The sequence below is a fragment of the Homo sapiens genome, chromosome 6 (genome assembly GCF_000001405.40).
Source record: "Homo sapiens chromosome 6, GRCh38.p14 Primary Assembly".
In the NCBI taxonomy this organism is placed as follows: Eukaryota; Metazoa; Chordata; class Mammalia; order Primates; family Hominidae; genus Homo; species Homo sapiens.
The window spans coordinates 151,195,629-151,212,273 of record NC_000006.12 but is presented as its reverse complement, the minus strand read 5'-3'; the positions used below and the strand labels follow the sequence as shown (position 1 = coordinate 151,212,273).

General features: G+C 42.1%; 1 long non-coding RNA gene and 1 pseudogene across 1 annotated transcript in view, besides 1 other annotated feature; one reads left to right on the top strand and one right to left on the bottom strand.

Annotated features, from left to right (window-relative positions):
• Positions 1 to 15,601, top strand: part of LOC102723831 (uncharacterized) — a 31,785-nt gene extending 16,184 nt beyond the window's left edge. Inside the window, exons 2-3 of the long non-coding RNA NR_125868.1 lie at positions 14,639 to 14,755; positions 14,910 to 15,601. This is a non-coding gene — a long non-coding RNA (uncharacterized LOC102723831). The remainder of the gene's footprint in view (positions 1 to 14,638; positions 14,756 to 14,909) is intronic.
• Positions 3,699 to 4,198: an enhancer, noted in NCBI's record as "H3K4me1 hESC enhancer chr6:151529211-151529710 (GRCh37/hg19 assembly coordinates)". NCBI's record gives its function as "activates a minimal SCP1, AML or CMV promoter by ChIP-STARR-seq in naive H9 embryonic stem cells {active_cell/tissue: H9 hESC(naive)}" and the evidence as "EXISTENCE:reporter gene assay evidence [ECO:0000049][PMID:30033119]".
• Positions 10,830 to 10,933, bottom strand: RNU6-300P (RNA, U6 small nuclear 300, pseudogene; annotated as a pseudogene).
• Positions 15,602 to 16,645: the final 1,044 nt, after the last annotated feature.

The following is a 16,645-nucleotide window of genomic DNA, read 5'->3' as shown; positions in this document are numbered from 1 at the left end:
GGTGATCCTCCCACCTCAGCCCTCTGAGTAGCTGGGACTACAGGCATGTGCCACCATGCCCAGCTAATTTTTTGTATTTTTAGTAGACACAGGGTTTCACCATGTTGCCCAGGCTGGTCTTGAACTTCTAGACTCAAGCAATCCACTCACCTCAGCCTCCCAAAGTGCTAGGATTACAGGCATGAGCCCTCACGCCTGGCCATTTGCCCACTTTTTAATGGGACTTTTTTTTTTTTTTTTTAGATGGAGTCTTGCTCTTGTTGCCCAGGCTGGAGTGCAATCGCACAATCTCAGCTCACTACAACCTCCGCCTCCTGGGTTCTAGTGATTCTCCTGCCTCAGCCTCCCAAGTAGCTGGGATTACAGGCGCCCGCCACCACACCTGGCTAATTTTTGTATTTTTAGTAGAGACAGGGTTTCGCCACATTGGCCAGGCTGGTCTCGAACTCATGACCTCATGATCTGCCTGCCTTGGCCTCCCAAAGTGCTGGGATTACAGGCATGAGCCACCGCGCTCATTTTAAACATTTTATTGTTGACTCATTTGAGTTCCTTGTGTATTCAGGATATTAATCCCTTGCAGGGTGAATGTTTGCAAATAATTTCTCCCATTCGACAGGTTGTCTCTTCACTCTATTGTTCCCTTTGCTGTGCAGAAGCTTTTTCATTTAATATAGTTCTATTTGTCTATTTTTGTTTTAGTTTTTTGTTGTTTTGAGATCTTAGCCATAAAATCTGCCTAGACTAATGTCCTGAAGTATTTTCCCTGTGTTTTCTTCTATTAGTTCTGGGTCTTATATTTAAGTCTCCAATCCATCTTGAGTTGATTTTTGTATATGGTGAGAGATAGGGTCCACTTTCATTCCTCAGCACCGTTTATTGAAGAGAGTGTCCTTCCCTCAGTGTATCTTCTTGGCACTTTTATTGAAAATCAGTTGGCTATAAATACATGTATTTATTTCTGTATTCTGTATTCTGTTCCATCAATGTATGTGTCTTTTATACTAATACCATGCTGTTTTGTTTACTATAGCTTTGTAACATATTTTGAAGTCAGGTAGTGTGATACCTCCAGCTTTGTTCTTTTTTCTCAGAATTGCATTGGCTATTCAGGCTCTTTTTTGGTTCCATAAGAATTTTATGATTTTTTTTTCTAATTCTGTGAAAAATGATATTGGTATTTTGATAGGGATTGCATTGAATCTGTAGATTGCTATGGGCAATGTGGTCTTTTTTTTTTTTTTTTTTTTTGACGGTCTCACTTTTTCCCAGGCTGGGGTACAGTGGTGCTATCTCAGCTCACTGCAGCCTCCAGCTCTTGGGTTCAAGTGATTCTCATGCCTCAGCCTCCCAAGTAGCTGGGATTACAGGCGCCTGCCACTATGCTTAGCTAATTTTTGTATTTTTAGTAGAGATGGGGTTTCACTGTGTTTGTCTAGGCTGGTCTTAAACTCCTGACCTCAAGTGATCCACCTGCCTCGGCCTCCCAAAGTGCTGGGATTACAGGCGTGCGTGAGCCACCACGCCTGGCCAATATGATAATTTTAATGATATTATTTCTTCCAGCTTATGAGCATGGGATGTCAGTCCATTTGTATGTGTCCACTTCAGTTTCTGTCATCAGTGTTTTGTAGTTCTCTTTGTAGAGCTCTTTCACCTCCTTTGTTGAATGTATATTCCTGAGTGTTTTATTCTTTTTTTATAGCTACTATAAATAGGATTGCTTTCTTGATTTTTTTCTCAGCTAGTTCATTATTGGTGTATAGAAATGCTACCGATTTTGTACATCAATTTTGTATCCTACAATGTTACTTAATTTATTTATTAGATTTAAGAGTTTTTTGGTGGAGTCTGCGTTTTTCTAGATATAAGATCATATTAGCAGTAAAGAGGGACAATTTGACTTTCTCTTTTCTAATTTGGACGCCTTTTATTTATTTCTCTTGCCTTATTGCTCTGGCCAGGACATCCAATACTTACATTCTTTTTTTTTTTTTTTTTTTTTTTTTTTGAGACAGAGTCTCCCTCTGTCTCCCAGGCTGCAGTGCAGTGGCGTGATCTTGGATCACTGCAACCTCTGCCTCCCCGGCTCACGTGATTCTCCTACCTCAGCCTCCCAGGTAGCTGGGACTACAGGTGTACACCACCATGCCCAGCTAATTTTTGTATTTTTAGTAGAGATGGGTTTTCATCATGTTGGCCAAGCTGGTCTCGAACTCCTGACCTCAAGTGATCTGCCTGCCTTGGCCTCCCAAAGTGCTAGGATTACAGGTGTGAGCCACCTCACCCAGCCTACAGTACTTATATTCTTACACGGCTCATATCTGTAGCTGATTTCCAATGGGAGAAACCGAGGGACTGTTGATATAAAGCTGCACATGAAAACAAGAGGTACCATTATCTCATGAACAGCTTCCAACTGTGCAGAGTCCAGGCATTCTCACCTGATCCTCCAGAAACACTACCCCTGGTCTGCAGGCTGATTTGCTGCTGACACAGAGAGGCACCCAGCAGAAGCAAGGACTCACGTCTACAGAGAACACTTAATCACATTGTCGGGGCTAGCTGGGCTCCTTGGGAAATGGAGGGTGCAGTGGGCGCCAGGGCAGGGGAAAAGCTTATCGAGAACAAGAGCAGGATGCAGGGAACGAGCAGAAAATAAACCTGAACTCTGTCTCGATTACAATTAAGTGTTTGCCACCGGAAAGCAATTTAAACAGACAGCAGCCACCTCAGCTGCTAGTGCCTGTGGGCTCGTATGACCAATCCCGGCCGTGTAGCTATTCTTAGTCACAGTTTCTCCCGACTCAATCTGCAGTAGAAGTGAAGAGACTCTTCTACCTGTAATACAGAGCTGTCCTTCCTCCCTTTATCCTTGATTTTTACCCTTTGTTCTGCAGTCTCTGTTAGTGTGTGTTCTGGACATAATAAAATATGGCTAGTTAATTCAAGCAAAAGCTTGCAGTGACTTGGCAAAGCATTATCAAGATGAATGGGAGGACAGGCAGAGGATAAAATGAGGTTGAAACTGGCTTGCCTTGTATTCAAAAATCCTAACTCCTCTTTTTACTGATTATCTTAGCTATGCATTTTTTTGTAAAGCCTCTTGAATTCAAACTGGATAAAGCTTTCTTTCTTTCAAATGTGCTTAATAACTAGGACCTGCATCTGACATTCACTGTGTCATTGCAGTGACTATAAATGCTTCCTTTAAGTCTGTGTAATTTCTAAATCAAATGTTCAGAAACCAACAGAAATGTTTATTCTTGGATAAATTAACTATGATTCAACAACTTTGTGCTCTAATTTATGGAAGAGATTCTCTCTCCATCAGTGACTTTGGCTGGGTTGTGTTAGAGATGAGCAATGCGCATCAGTGAGGCTTGCCTGGATCTTCCTTGTCAGGTTGGGTATGTCTCATAAAATTAGTTGAAAGGGCTGGGCATGGTGGCCCATGCCTGTAATCCCAGCACTTTGGGAGGCCCAGGTGGGTGGATCACTTGAGGTCAGGAGTTTGAGACCAGCCTAGACAACATGGCAAAACCCTGTCTCTACAAAAAATACAAAAATTAGCGGGGCATGGTGACATGCGTCTATAGTCCCAGCTACTGGGAAGGCTGAGGCAGGAGAATGACTTGAACCCAGAGGCGGAGGTTGCAGTGAGCCGGGATCACGCCACTGCACTCCAGTCTGGGTGACAGAGCAAGACTTTGTCTCAAAACAAAAAACAAACAAAAAAAGATTAATTGAAACGTAAAGAGAGAAATTGCAAGTGACAGGAGCACCTGAGTCACAGGGGTGGCACATATACAATGGGTGTGGACTTTGTGAAGGGAAGGATGAGAGTGTGTCATACTGTGGCCAAGATCACAGCCTTTACTGCCAGACAGATCCGACTCTACTGCTGTGTGACCTTGGATGGATTGCTTAATGTCTCTACACTTTCATTTCTGTTTTATCATGTGTGAAGTGGGGATATAAAAGACAATCTAGGCCGGGCGCGGTGGCTCATGCCTGTAATCCCAGCACTTTGGAAGTCTGAGGCAGATGGGTCAGGAGTTCAGGAGTTCGAGACCAGCCTGGCCAATATGACAAAACCCCGTCTCTACTAAAAATACAAAAAAATTAGCCAGGCATGGTGGCAGGCGTCTGTGGTTCCAGCTACTTGAAAGGCTGAGGCAGGAGGATTGCTTGAACCTGGGAGGTGGAGGTTGCAGGGAGCCGAGATCACACCACTGCACTCCAGCCTGGGTGACAGAGCGAGGCTCCATCTCAAAAAAAAAAAAAAAAGCCAATGTACAAAAGATTGTTGAAAGGATTCCATGAGATAAAAGATGCAAGGCATTAAGCCCAGGAGAGAAACATTAGCTGTTGCCATTTTTTTTCTTTTCCTTCAAGAGTATGCTAATTTATTTTGTTACTGTTCTAATCCTAGCTCTACCTTATGACTGTGGAAGCTTGGGCAGGACTGCTGAAACCTGGTTCTTCCTTTCTAAAATGGGGCTGTTAACATCTTCTTGATGGGATTACTGTGAGAATGAACAGACAGAATGATGTGTGTGAAGAATGCCTGACACAGACAGTGCCTGGCAGAGTGCATGCAGTCAATCAATTTCAGGGCCCCCTTCTCACTCCTGACCCCTTCATGGAGAGACCACAGGCCGAAATCATAGACGCTCTGGATGTGAGGTACTATGATGAAAGCCAAAAATCAGGGCATGGTGGCTCACGCCTGTAATCCCAACACTTTGAGAGACCAAGGCGAGCAGATCATCTGAGGTCAGGAGTTCAAGACCAGCCTGCCCAACATGGCAAAACCCCACCTCTACTAAAAAAAATACAAAAAATTAGCCAGGCGTGGTGGCAGGCACCTGTAATCCCAGCTACTTGGGCGGCTGAGGCAGGAGAATCACTTGAACCTGGGAGGCAGAGGTTGCAATGAGCTGAGATCGCACCACTGCCCTCCAGCCTGGGCCACAAGAGTGAAACTCCAAAAAAAAAAAAAAAAAGCCAAAAAACAAAAAACAACTCCCCCGATGATTCTGATGTGAATGAAATCAGGGTAAGACCCTACATTGTCTAGAGGTTTGATGGTAGATCCTGGGACAGTGAAACTTATCTACTTCTATTTTTCTTCTTTTGAAACAAGGTCTCGCTATGTTGCCCAGGCTGGACTCAAACTCCTGGGCTCAAGCGATCCTCCGAATTCAGCCTCCAGAATAGCTGGAATTAGAGGTGTAAGCCACCACACCCAGTGCTACCTACCTCTATTTTCACCACAGACATAGAGTGTAAGTTCTCTTACTCACAAATGCCAGCCATTGGTCATGAGGAAAATCAAGCTCATCTTTATTCCTGAAAATCCATTTTCTTAGTCAGCTGGCGCTGCCATGAAAAAATACCACAGGCTGGGTGGCTTAAACTACAGTCATTTATTTCTCATAATTCTAGGGGCTGGGAAGTCTAAGACCAAGGTGCTGGCCTATATGGTTCCTGGTGAAGGTTCTCTTTTGGCTTGCAGATGGCCCCGTCCCTTTGTTTCCTCACGTGGAGAGGAAGAGAGGGAGAGAGAGACCAAGCTGTCTTGTGTCTCTTCTTATAAGGGCACTAATCCCATCATGAGCGCCCCACCTTCACGTCTGCATCTAAACCTAATTATTAACACCTCACAAACGCCCATCTCCAAATGCCATCACATTCCACATTGGGGGTTAGAAATTTTAGGAATATAAATTTGGGGAGGGCAGAACTCAAACCATAACACCAACTCCAAGAGCAGGCTTTGCTAAGTAAAGGTTGGTTGTGCTTTAGAGCTCTAACAGTTCTGGGAGGTCATTGTGAAACAGGCCTATTGTCACTTGTTGAAGGTTGTGCAACTCCTAGTGGCTGAACCATCAGATTCCAAACTTCATTCTTTTCATTATATCAAATAAATGGCCTTGAAAGATCTGTAATGAGGACAAGAGTGACCAGTCAGAAAAGTGGCAAAGAAACCAGTAACAAAAGGGAATATGACAATTAAGTGCATAATAAATCGGGTAGGGCAGATAATGAAAAATAAACAAATAAAAGAAGAATGAATGAATGGGATTTAGGGCATGCATCGATTACTTAAAAAAGAGACTGAAAAGTCTGAGGGAATCTTTTGTGAAAATTAATGAAATAGGCCTAGCATTTTCTGACCCGTGTTTTATATGTGTGCAAGGCTCATGTTTACAGTTATTCTTGAACACTCCTTGCTCTACCCCACCCTCCCAAGTCTTTTGACCTCAGGAAAAATCAGTCTAAAGAGATTTTGTCATCTCCAGCTGTCCCAGTTGCCCATCAAATCCAGCCTTTGTTTCTCTTGCAGCCTCATTGTCTCTGATTGCAACTTTAACCCTGTCTTGAATTGTCTAAGAGGCTGGGGGCTGACAGCTGAATCCAAGTCTCAGACACACAGACTTTGACCTTTGCAGTCCACTGACCTGCAGAATACATCAGTTAATACACATAGGAAGAGATGCAAGAAAGAGCAACATGAAAGTGGGTAAAGGATTATCAAAGGAGGAGTAAAGAGACGGAGAGCAGAGAGGCTGAGCAAAGACATCTAGATTAATGATAAGGCGACCAAGGGACAGCTTTAATGCAGGCTGGGAAGGGTTCTGGAGGCAGTGTTAGCAGCCATTTCTTTTCCTTTTTCTTTTCTATTTTTCTAGCTAAGACTGAAGGAAAGGCGTTAAATACAATCTGGGGTGCAGTGGCTCACACCTGTAATCCCAGCACTTTGGGAGGCCGAGGTGGGCGGATCACCTGAGGTCAGGCGTTTGATACCAGCCTGGCCAATGAAACCTCGTCTCAACTAAAAATACAAAAAAAATTAGCCAGGCATGGTGGCGGGCGCCTGTAATCCCAGCTTCTTGGGAGGCTGAGGCAGGAGAATCACTTGAACCCAAGAGGCGGAGATTGCAGTGAGCCAAGATCATGCTACTGCACTCCAGCCTGGTTGACAGAGCAAGACTCCATCTCAGAAAAAAAATAAATAAATAAAATAAAAAATAAATAAATACAATCTGGAATTGAGATTAAATATAAGAAATAACTTTCAGAGAGAACTATTTATTTAATAAAGGAAAAGATTATTGACAAGGCTATGTAAGTCACCCTTACTGCATAATACTGAGGCATAATTATGATCAAGCCCTATCTAGAAGTTTGGCAGTCTCTTGGGCACTTCAAATGCATACATTACTTAATTTAATCTTTTTAGGAACTCCCTAAAGTGAATAGTATTACCCCCATTTTACGGAAAAGTAAACTGAGGCTCAAGGATGGTAAGGGACTTACCAGGGACCTATGCAGTGGGTGGCACAGCTGAGTTTAGGCCAATTTACATTGGACTCTAAAGCCAATGCTCTTGCCACTCGATCAGCAGGAACCATGGTCTTGAATCGCTTCAGACTAAGCCCAAGGAATGATCAAATCATCTTGGTGGGCTCCAAACCTGCCTTATCTCAGGGACTGGGTGAAAGGTAAGAGAAAGGAGGAGGGAGGAACTGAGAGTGACCTCACAGGGTGACGTCTCCTAGTACCGCCCCCAGCATAAAGCCAAGAAAAACTTTCATCAGTTTCCCTCAGAGTAAATCCCTTTGCATTTGAATTAATGATGTAAGAAGTCCAAGATCAGGGTGCCTGCCTATTTAGTTCCTCAGTGAGGGCAACTTCCCAGCTGCCAGAACTGTGAGAACTAAATGTCTGTTGTATGAGCCACCCAGTCTATAATATTTTGTTACAGCAGTCCCAGCAGACTAGGACAGTGATGTTCAGAGAAAAGAGGCCAGAGGCCTTGTCCCAGGCCATGAGGATACCACTGAGCTGAGGGAGGAAAGCTCCCACCAAGGTTTGAAATGCAAGAAAAAATGATGTCTGGCAGGGCGCAGTGGCTCACACCTGTAATCCCTGCACTTTGGGAGGCCAAGGCGGGAGGCCAAATGAACTCCTCACTTGAGGTCAGGAGTTTGAGACCAGCCTGGCCAACATGATGAAACCCTGTCTCTACTAAAAATATAAAAATTAGCCGGGCGTGGTGCCAGGTGCCTGTAATCCCAGCTACTCCGGAGGCTGAGGCAGGAGAATCGCTTGAACCTGGGAGGCAGAGGTTGCAGTGAGCTGAGATCATGCCACTGCACTCCAACCTGGGTGACAGAGTGAGATTCTGTCTCAGAAAAAGAAAGAGAGAAAGAGAGAAAGGAAGGAAGGAAGATGTCAGCAAAAATGTCAGAGAAAGGACCTCTGAAAAATTTCTCCTCTATGAAAATAATGAGAAAACTGGCAAAAAAGGGAAGAATCAACTTTTTTAGGGCTCTAGAAATTAATCAAATTCTGGCAGGAATTCAGGAAGTATGCATTCAAGAAAAATGGCTGAATCTCAGTAATTAGAGAAATTAGAAAATAGTTTGAGATGAGTGAAAATAAAAACACAGTATACCCAAACTTACGGGATGCAGCTAACCTGCTGCTTAGAGGGAAATTTATAGCTGTAAATGCCAATATTAATGAAGAAGAAAGAGCTAAAATCAATAATCTAAACTTTCACCTTAAGACACTGGAAAAGGAAGGGAAAACTAAACCCAAAAACAAGTAGAAGGAAGGATAGAATAAAGACTCTAATGGAAATAAGTGAAATACAGAATAGAAAAACAAGAGAGAAAATCAACAAAACAAAATGTTAATCTTTGGAAAGACCAACAAAATTGACAAAATATTAGCTAAACTAACCAAGAAAAAAAGAAGACTTGATTACTTCCGACTCTACAGAAATAAAAAAAAATTATGAGGGGATATTTTGAACAATTGTATGCAAACAAATCAGACAGCAGATATGAAATAGACAAATTTCTAAAGAGACACAAACTATGTAAACTGATCCAAGAAGAAATGGAAATCTGAAGAGACCTATCACAAAGAGATTGAAGTAATAGTAAAAACAAAAGCAAAAATAAAAAAAAAATACTTCCAACACATAAGAGCTCAAGATCAAATGTAAGAAAAGAAAGGATTAATAGACCAATGGAAGGATTGACCAATGGAAGGAAAAGGTGTTAGAATTTCAAGCCCTCAATTATCCCACCTTCCTGTTAAAAAAAAACACTGATGCTAAAAAATCACATAGCATAAATTATACCATCTTAGCCATTTTTAAGTGTGCAGTTTAATATTGTTAAGTGTATTCACATTGTTGTGAAACAGATCTCCCAGTCTTTTTCATCTTGCAAATTCAAAACTTTATACCCATTCAATAATAACTTCCCCTTTCCTCCTCCTCATCCTTTGGTACCCACCATTCTACTTTTTGTTTCTATAAATTTGATGACTACTTCATATTAGTGGAATCATACAGTATTCATCTTTTTGCGATTTGCTTATTTCACTTACCGTAATATTCTCAAAGTTCATCATGTTGCAGCATGTAACAGGATTTTCTTCCTTTTTTTTTGTTTTGCTTTGTTTTTGTTTTTGTTTTTGTTTTGAGACAAAGTTTCGCTATTGTTTTCCCAGGCTGGACTGCGATGGCGCAATCTCGGCTCACAGCAACCTCCACCTCCCGGGTTCAAGTGATTCTCCTGCCTCAGCCTCCCGAGTTAGCTGGGATTACAGGCGTGTGCCACCACGCCCAGCTAATTTTGTATTTTTAGTAGAGATGGGGTTTTTCCATGTTGGTCAGGCTGGTCTTGAACTCCCGACCTCAGGTGATCCGCCCACCTTGGCCTCTCAAAGTGCTGGGATTACCAGTGTGAGCTACCTACCGTGCCCAGCTGGATTGTCTTCCTTTCTAAGGCTGAATAATATTCCATTGTATGCATAGACCACATTTTGTTTCTCCAGTCATCCTTTGGTAGACGCTTGGATTGCTTTCACCTCTTGGGTACCATGAATAAATGCTGCTGTGAACATGGGTATGCAAATATCTTTTTGAGACTCCTCTTTCAATTCTTTTGGATGTATACCCAGAAGTGGAATTGCTGAATCATAATAGTGCTATTTTTAATTTTTTGAGAAGCTGCCTACTGTTTTCCATAGAGGTTGCAACATTTTATAATCCCACCAACAGTGTGCAAGGATGCTGATTTCTCCACATCTTGGCCTTGTTATTTTCTGGGTTTTTAATTTGTTTTTAATTGTACTTGTCCTAATGAGTGTGAGGTGATATCTCATTGAGGTTTTGATTTGCATTTCCCTGGTGACTAGTGACATTGAGCATCTTTCCATATGTTTGTTGGCTATTTGTGTATCATTTTTGTGTGTTTTTTTTGAGACACGGTCTCACTCTGTCACCTAGGCTGGAGTGCAATGGTGTGATATCAGCCCACTGCGACCTCCACCTCCTGAGTTCAAGCGATTCTCCTACCTCAGCCTCCCAGGTAGCTGGGACCACAGGCATGTGCCACCATGCCGGGCTAATTTTTGTATTTTTAGTAGAGGCAGGGTTTCACCATGTTGGCCAGGCTGGTCTCAAACTCCTGATCTCAAGTGATCCACCTGATTTGGCCTCCAAAAGTACTGGGATTACAGGTGTGAGCCACCACAGCCAGCCTTGTATAGCATCTTTAGAGATGTCTATGATGTCTGTTCAAGTCGTTTGCCCTTTTAAAAACTGGGGATTTTTTTTGTTGAGTTTTAGGAGTTCTTTATACATTCTGCACATTAACCCCTTTTCAGATATGACTTGCTACTATTTCAACCCATTCTATAGGTTCCCTTTTTACTTCATTGATTATGTTCTTTGACACACAAAGGTTTTTAAGTTTTATGTAGTCCTATTTGTCTATTTTTTCCACCTTCCTTTTAAAAAAATATTAGAATGCTTCACAAAATTGCATCTCATCCTTTTGCAGAGGGCATGCTAATCTCTGTGTCATTCTAACTTTAGTGTGTATGCTGTCAAAGCTAGCACCTAACTATCCTTTTAAAGTTGATTTTCTTTTATTTATTCCAATCTTACTTTTCAAGCAGATTTCTGACGCCAGGTATCCTATACCTTGATTCAGTGACTTCCAAACTTGAATATGCACCAGAATCTCTTGGAGGGCTTGTTACATCATAAATTGCTGGGTCCTACCACAGAGTCTTTGATTGAGTAGACCTGGGGTGGGGTTTAAGGATTTACATGTGTAACAAGATATCAAATGATGCTGGTCCTGATGGTCCAGGACCACACCTTGAGCACTGATGCTCTAGTCAAATTCAATCGCTCCATGTTTTTTAGAGATTATTGCCTTTGCTCATGCTGGGCTTTTTTTGGTTTGTTTGTTTTGTTTTCTGCCCAGAATGCCCTTTATTCAGACACCTCCTCTACAGGCTTTCACTAAGCCCTCCAACTGGAATGAATTGCTCTCCTGAGTTTCTATGTCACTTTATATTTATTTTTTCTCTTATCACCTACCTTTTACTTTTTTTAATTTTTATTGAGACAGAGCCTTGCTCTGTTACCCAGGCTGGAGTGCAGTGGCGTGATCTCAGCTCACTTCAACCTCTGCCTTCTGGGTTCCAGCGATTCTCGTGCTTCAGCCTCCCAAGTAGCTGAGACTACAGGCACCTGCCACCATGCCTGGCTGATTTTTGTATTTTTAGTAGAGATGGGGTTTCACCATGTTGGCCAGGCTGGTCTCGAACTTCTGACCTCAAGTGATCCACCTGCCTCAGCCTCCCAAAGTGCTGGGATTACAGGTGTGAGCCACGGCACCTGGCCACCTTTTACTTTTGATTTGACTTATTTACATACCAGTCACACCGTCTATTAGGATAATAAGGTTTTGGATGTCAGTGCTCATGTTTAACTTATCTTTCTACATCCTACAGTGCCTGGCAGAGTTTCTCACCTATACTAGGCATGCAATGGATATTTGTTAAATGAATGAAAAAATAAGGAAATACTCTGTGAAGAAAAAGACAGCAATATTAAGGAAAGAAAAAATGAATAAAAAGAAATAGAAAAAAGGAGATGATAAATGTGGTGGAATAAAGTGGGAATTCCTCCAGAAGGGAGTTTTGTTTTGCCAACTAAATGCAAAGCAAAAATAGGCCAGGTCTTCCCAGCTGTTCTTTTTGTCTGTTTTCTTGCAGCTGTGCTAGAATTTTTTTTTTCCAGGCCAGAATTGCTAATCACCATGCCAGTACGGCCCTTGTGATTTAATAAGAAGAAAAAGATTGGGGGACTTTAATTCCCAAACACTTAGGGTGTGAATCTGGAGGGGTACAATGTTCTATCATGTTGACTGAAATCCAGACTGCACCTTTCATCTGATGAAAGACCATGACACTTTTCCCTGTGGAGAATTGGACAGATGCCATTGTAATATTAAAAAAAAAAAACAGTATTGAAGAAAGTTACGAACTCTAGAATTAGTTGATTATGCATAACTTTTTTTTCAGACAGGGTCTTGCTCTGTCACACAGGCTGGAGTGCAGTGGCATGATCATAGCTCACTGCAACCACGAACTCTTGGGCTCAAGCAATCATCCCGCCTCAGCCTCCCGAGTGGCTAAGATTAAAGATGCGTGCCATCATAACCAGCTAATTTTTGTAAATGTTTTTGTAGAGATATAGGATCTCGCTGTGTTGTTTAGGTTGGTCTCAAACTTCTGGCCTCAAGTGATCCTCCTGCCTTGGCCTCAAAAGTGCTGGGATTATAGGCATGAGCCATCATGTCTGGGCCTATGCATGAAATTTTAAATTAATTGTGTGTGTGTGTGTGTGTGTGTGTGTGTTTTGAGACAGAGTCTCACTCTGTCACCCAGGGTGGAGTGCAGTGGCATGATCTCGGCTCACTGCAACCTCCACCTCCCGGGTTCAGGCAATTCTCCTGCCTCAGCTTCTGAGTAGCTGGAATTACAGGCATGCACCACCACATCTGGCTAGTTTTTGTGTTTTCAGTAGAGGCAGGGGTTTCAGCATGTTGGCCAGGTGGTCTCGAACTCCTGACTTCAAGGGATCCACCCACCTCGGCCTCCCAAAGTGCTGAGATTACAGGCATGAACCACCGCACCCGGCCTTTAAAATTTATTTTTATAAAACGATCCCAGTCTACAATTCTTTATTAACATTTATGATCCTACTTCTCCAGCAGGTTGGATTGGGCATACTTCTAACTTTTGCATCTTAGTTTGATTCTTTATTTGGTTAGCCTTCATTTAAACTAGCAATCTGCAATAGGGTGTTTTCTCTACCATGCTATGCACGTGGCCTGGCAGAGAGCTTTTCTGGTGCATTTTTGAAAAGGCCCATAACCTGGGAATACGGTCCCACTGCAAACACTAAGGAAAGAAGCAAACCACAAAGGGATCAAGGATTTCTCATGGAACATGTGCCCTGAACACCCTCTGGAAGTTTCTGTGATGTTTGCTGTCATGGCAATGGATTACTCTGGATTAGGCTGCTGCCCCGGGATTGTTCTGTTCACCTGCTTGCTGTTTTCATTTTTGTTAGCTTGCTGTTTAGACACTTAAGGTGGATTCCATTTTGTTATCCAGATGTTTCTATGCCCAGGGGCACTAGCATGCATTCTAATCACTGGGCATGTATTGCTCTTTAATAGTATGTAGAAAATTGAGAAAGCCTTGAGAGCTGGCCTGAAAAATTTATTAGTCCCTCACTAAAACTTCATCTTTAAAATCATGTCTCTGTGGTGTGATTGTACCTGGAAGAACTAGAACTCAACCACTCAATTATGAGCTCAAGAATGTATGAAATTGAACATGTTCAGAAATTAATCATTTTTCTCATCTCTTCTGTGAATGATATCTCAGCAGTCAAGTTATCTTTCACTGCTAGGGGATATTCAAAAGTAAGAATTTGGAAGATCTTACTAAAAGGCTTTAGACAGAACCTGGAAATAGATTCTCTGCATTTGTATGCAAGTTAATTTTTGAATTCTCTACATATGCTGAGGGAAAAGATTAGGATGTCTAGATGGGCCTGGATAGCAAAGTCAGGGCCTGATTTTTTTCTGGTTAGTGCCTTGGGGAGATTAAGTGTGGCTATCACTGAATAAAATTTAACCCAAATGCTGAAACTTTTAGAGGAAACTGGATACATCAAACAGGAACCTGTTCTAACATCAAATGAGTGACTTATTTTCTTGCTTAACCAGGGTAGGTAACACTAAGCTGGCTATCAATAGCCCCCTGTTTCTTAGGGAATTTCTAATACGGTGTGACCATGTTTATTCGTAGATGGGACAGAGCTGCTGATGGCATTCTAAGACAGAGTAGAAGTAAAACGAAGAAAGATGGGGCTTCTGGTACCTACAATTATTTTTTTCCTTTTAAAAGTTATAGTAATTTTTAAATTTTGGAAATTTAAAATTTTGGAAAATAAAAACTACAAGTACACTTATAGTAGACTTCCTTCCTTCCTTCCTTCCCTCCCTCCCTTCCTCCCATCTCTCCCTTCCTTTCTTTCTCTCTTTTCTTTTTCTTCCTTTCTTTCTTTTTTCTTTTTTCTTTTCTTTCCTTTCTTTCTTTCTTTCTCTTTTCTTTCTTCTTTCTTTCCTTTTCTTTTCTCTTTCTTTCTTTCTTTTCTTTCTTTCTCTCTTCCTTCCTTCCTTCCTTCCTTCCTTTCTTCCTTTCTTTCTTTCTTTTTCTCTTTCTCTCTTTTCAGGGTCCCACTCTGTGGCCTAAGCTGGAGTGCAGTGGCAGTATCAGGGCCCGCTACATCCTTGACCTCCTGGGCTCAAACAATCTCTCATCTCAGCCTCCCAAGTAGCTGGCACTATAGGTATGTACCACTGTGCCCAGACAATATGTGTGTGTGTGCATATATATATATATATATATATATATATATATATATACATATATATATATATATATATACATATATATATATATATATATATATATATTTTTTTTTTTTTTTTTTTTTTTTGTAGGGATGGAGGCCTCACTTTGTTGCCAGCTGGTCTCGAGCTCCTGGCTTCAGGTGATCCTCCCATCTCAGCCTCCCAAAATGCTGAGAGGGCAGCTGTGAGCCACTGTGACCAGCCAGCATGTCTTTTTTTGATCTGCCCAGTACCAACCCTCATTTGGGAATCGCTCTTTCTGTTCCTTTAACCTGATGATTCCTGTGGGAGCAGCTGTGCTCTGACATGGCCTGGCCCTGCCTAGGGCTGATTAGAGAAAAACAGTACCAATGATCCTCTTCTCTGGGATATTTGAACCTGATTCCAGGGGTGATTATCAATATCTGCAACAATCAGGGAGATCCGGGTACCCACCAATTAGGACAGACATTGGCTGAAAAACAATTGATATGGGTGCAGCAGTGCACGCAGGCTGAAGAGCACCCTTGTTTGAGAAGAAGGAACATAGGGATTCCCTCTTTGGGGGCAGAAGTTGGAAACTGTGCATTGGGGAGCCCTGTTTTCTTCCTGTAGACAAATCTCATTGTGGTGAATAGGAATGAGGCCAACGGCAAGATCTGGAGATGGAAGAAGCTCCTGAAGATGTTGAAACCCCTGGTCCCAGCTGTTCTGTGGGCCAGCTGGATTCCTGCCCTTCTATAGCTGTATTGCTCAATCCTTTCCTGGGATCTGGGAGAAAATAAATTTCATTTTTGGCCCAAGTTAGTTCAAGTTCAGATTCTTTTCCCCCATAACAGTAACAAAGAGTCCTAACTGATTCAACATTAAACTGTATTCTTTTTTTAAAAGCTTTTTTGTTTGTTTGTTTTAGAGATGGGGTCTTGCTCTGTTACCCAGGCTGGAGTACGGTGGCAGTATCACAGTTTACTGCAGCTGGAACTTCCGGGTGCAAGGGATCCTCCTTCCTTAGTTTCCCCAGTAGTTGGGACTACAGGCATGCACCGTAACCAGCTAAATGTTTTTACAAATTTTTTTGGAGACAAGGTTTTGGGATGTTGCTCAGGCTTGTCTCAAACTCCTGGCCTCAAGCAATCCTCCCATCTCAGCCTTCTGAGCAGTTGGGATCACAGGCATGAGCCACCTCGTCCTGCCCAATAAAGCTTTGTAAAAAAGCCAGGCACGGTGGCTCACACTTGTAATCCCAGCGCTTTGGGAGGCCAAAGTGGGAGAATTCCTTGAATCTAGGAGTTAGAAACCACCCTGGGCAAAACAATGAAACCCCTGTCTCTACTTTAAAGGAAAAAAAAAAAAGCTTAGTGGAGTATAATTGACAAATAGAAACTGTATATAATTAACAGGTGTAACTTGATGGTTTGATATGCGTGTACATTGTGAAATGATCATCACATCAAGCTAGTTAACATATCCATCACTTCACGTAGTTACCTCTGTGTGTGTGTAGGCGTGTGTGTGTGTGGTGAGAAGACAAGATCTACTCTCAGCAAATTTCAAGTATACAATACAGTGTTAACTATAGTCACCATGCCGTACATTAGATTCACAGAATTTATTCATCCTGCATAATGGAAACTTTGTACCCTTTGACCAACATTTCCCCACTTCCCCCATCCTCCAACCCCTGACAACCACCACTCTACTGTGTGCTTCTGTGAGTTCAACTATTTTAAAATCTACATAAGTGAGATCATGCACTATTTGTCTTTCTATGTCTGGCTTATTTTACTTAGCATAATGTCCTTCAGGTTCACCCACGTTGCAAGTGGCAGAATTTCCTTCTTTTTTTA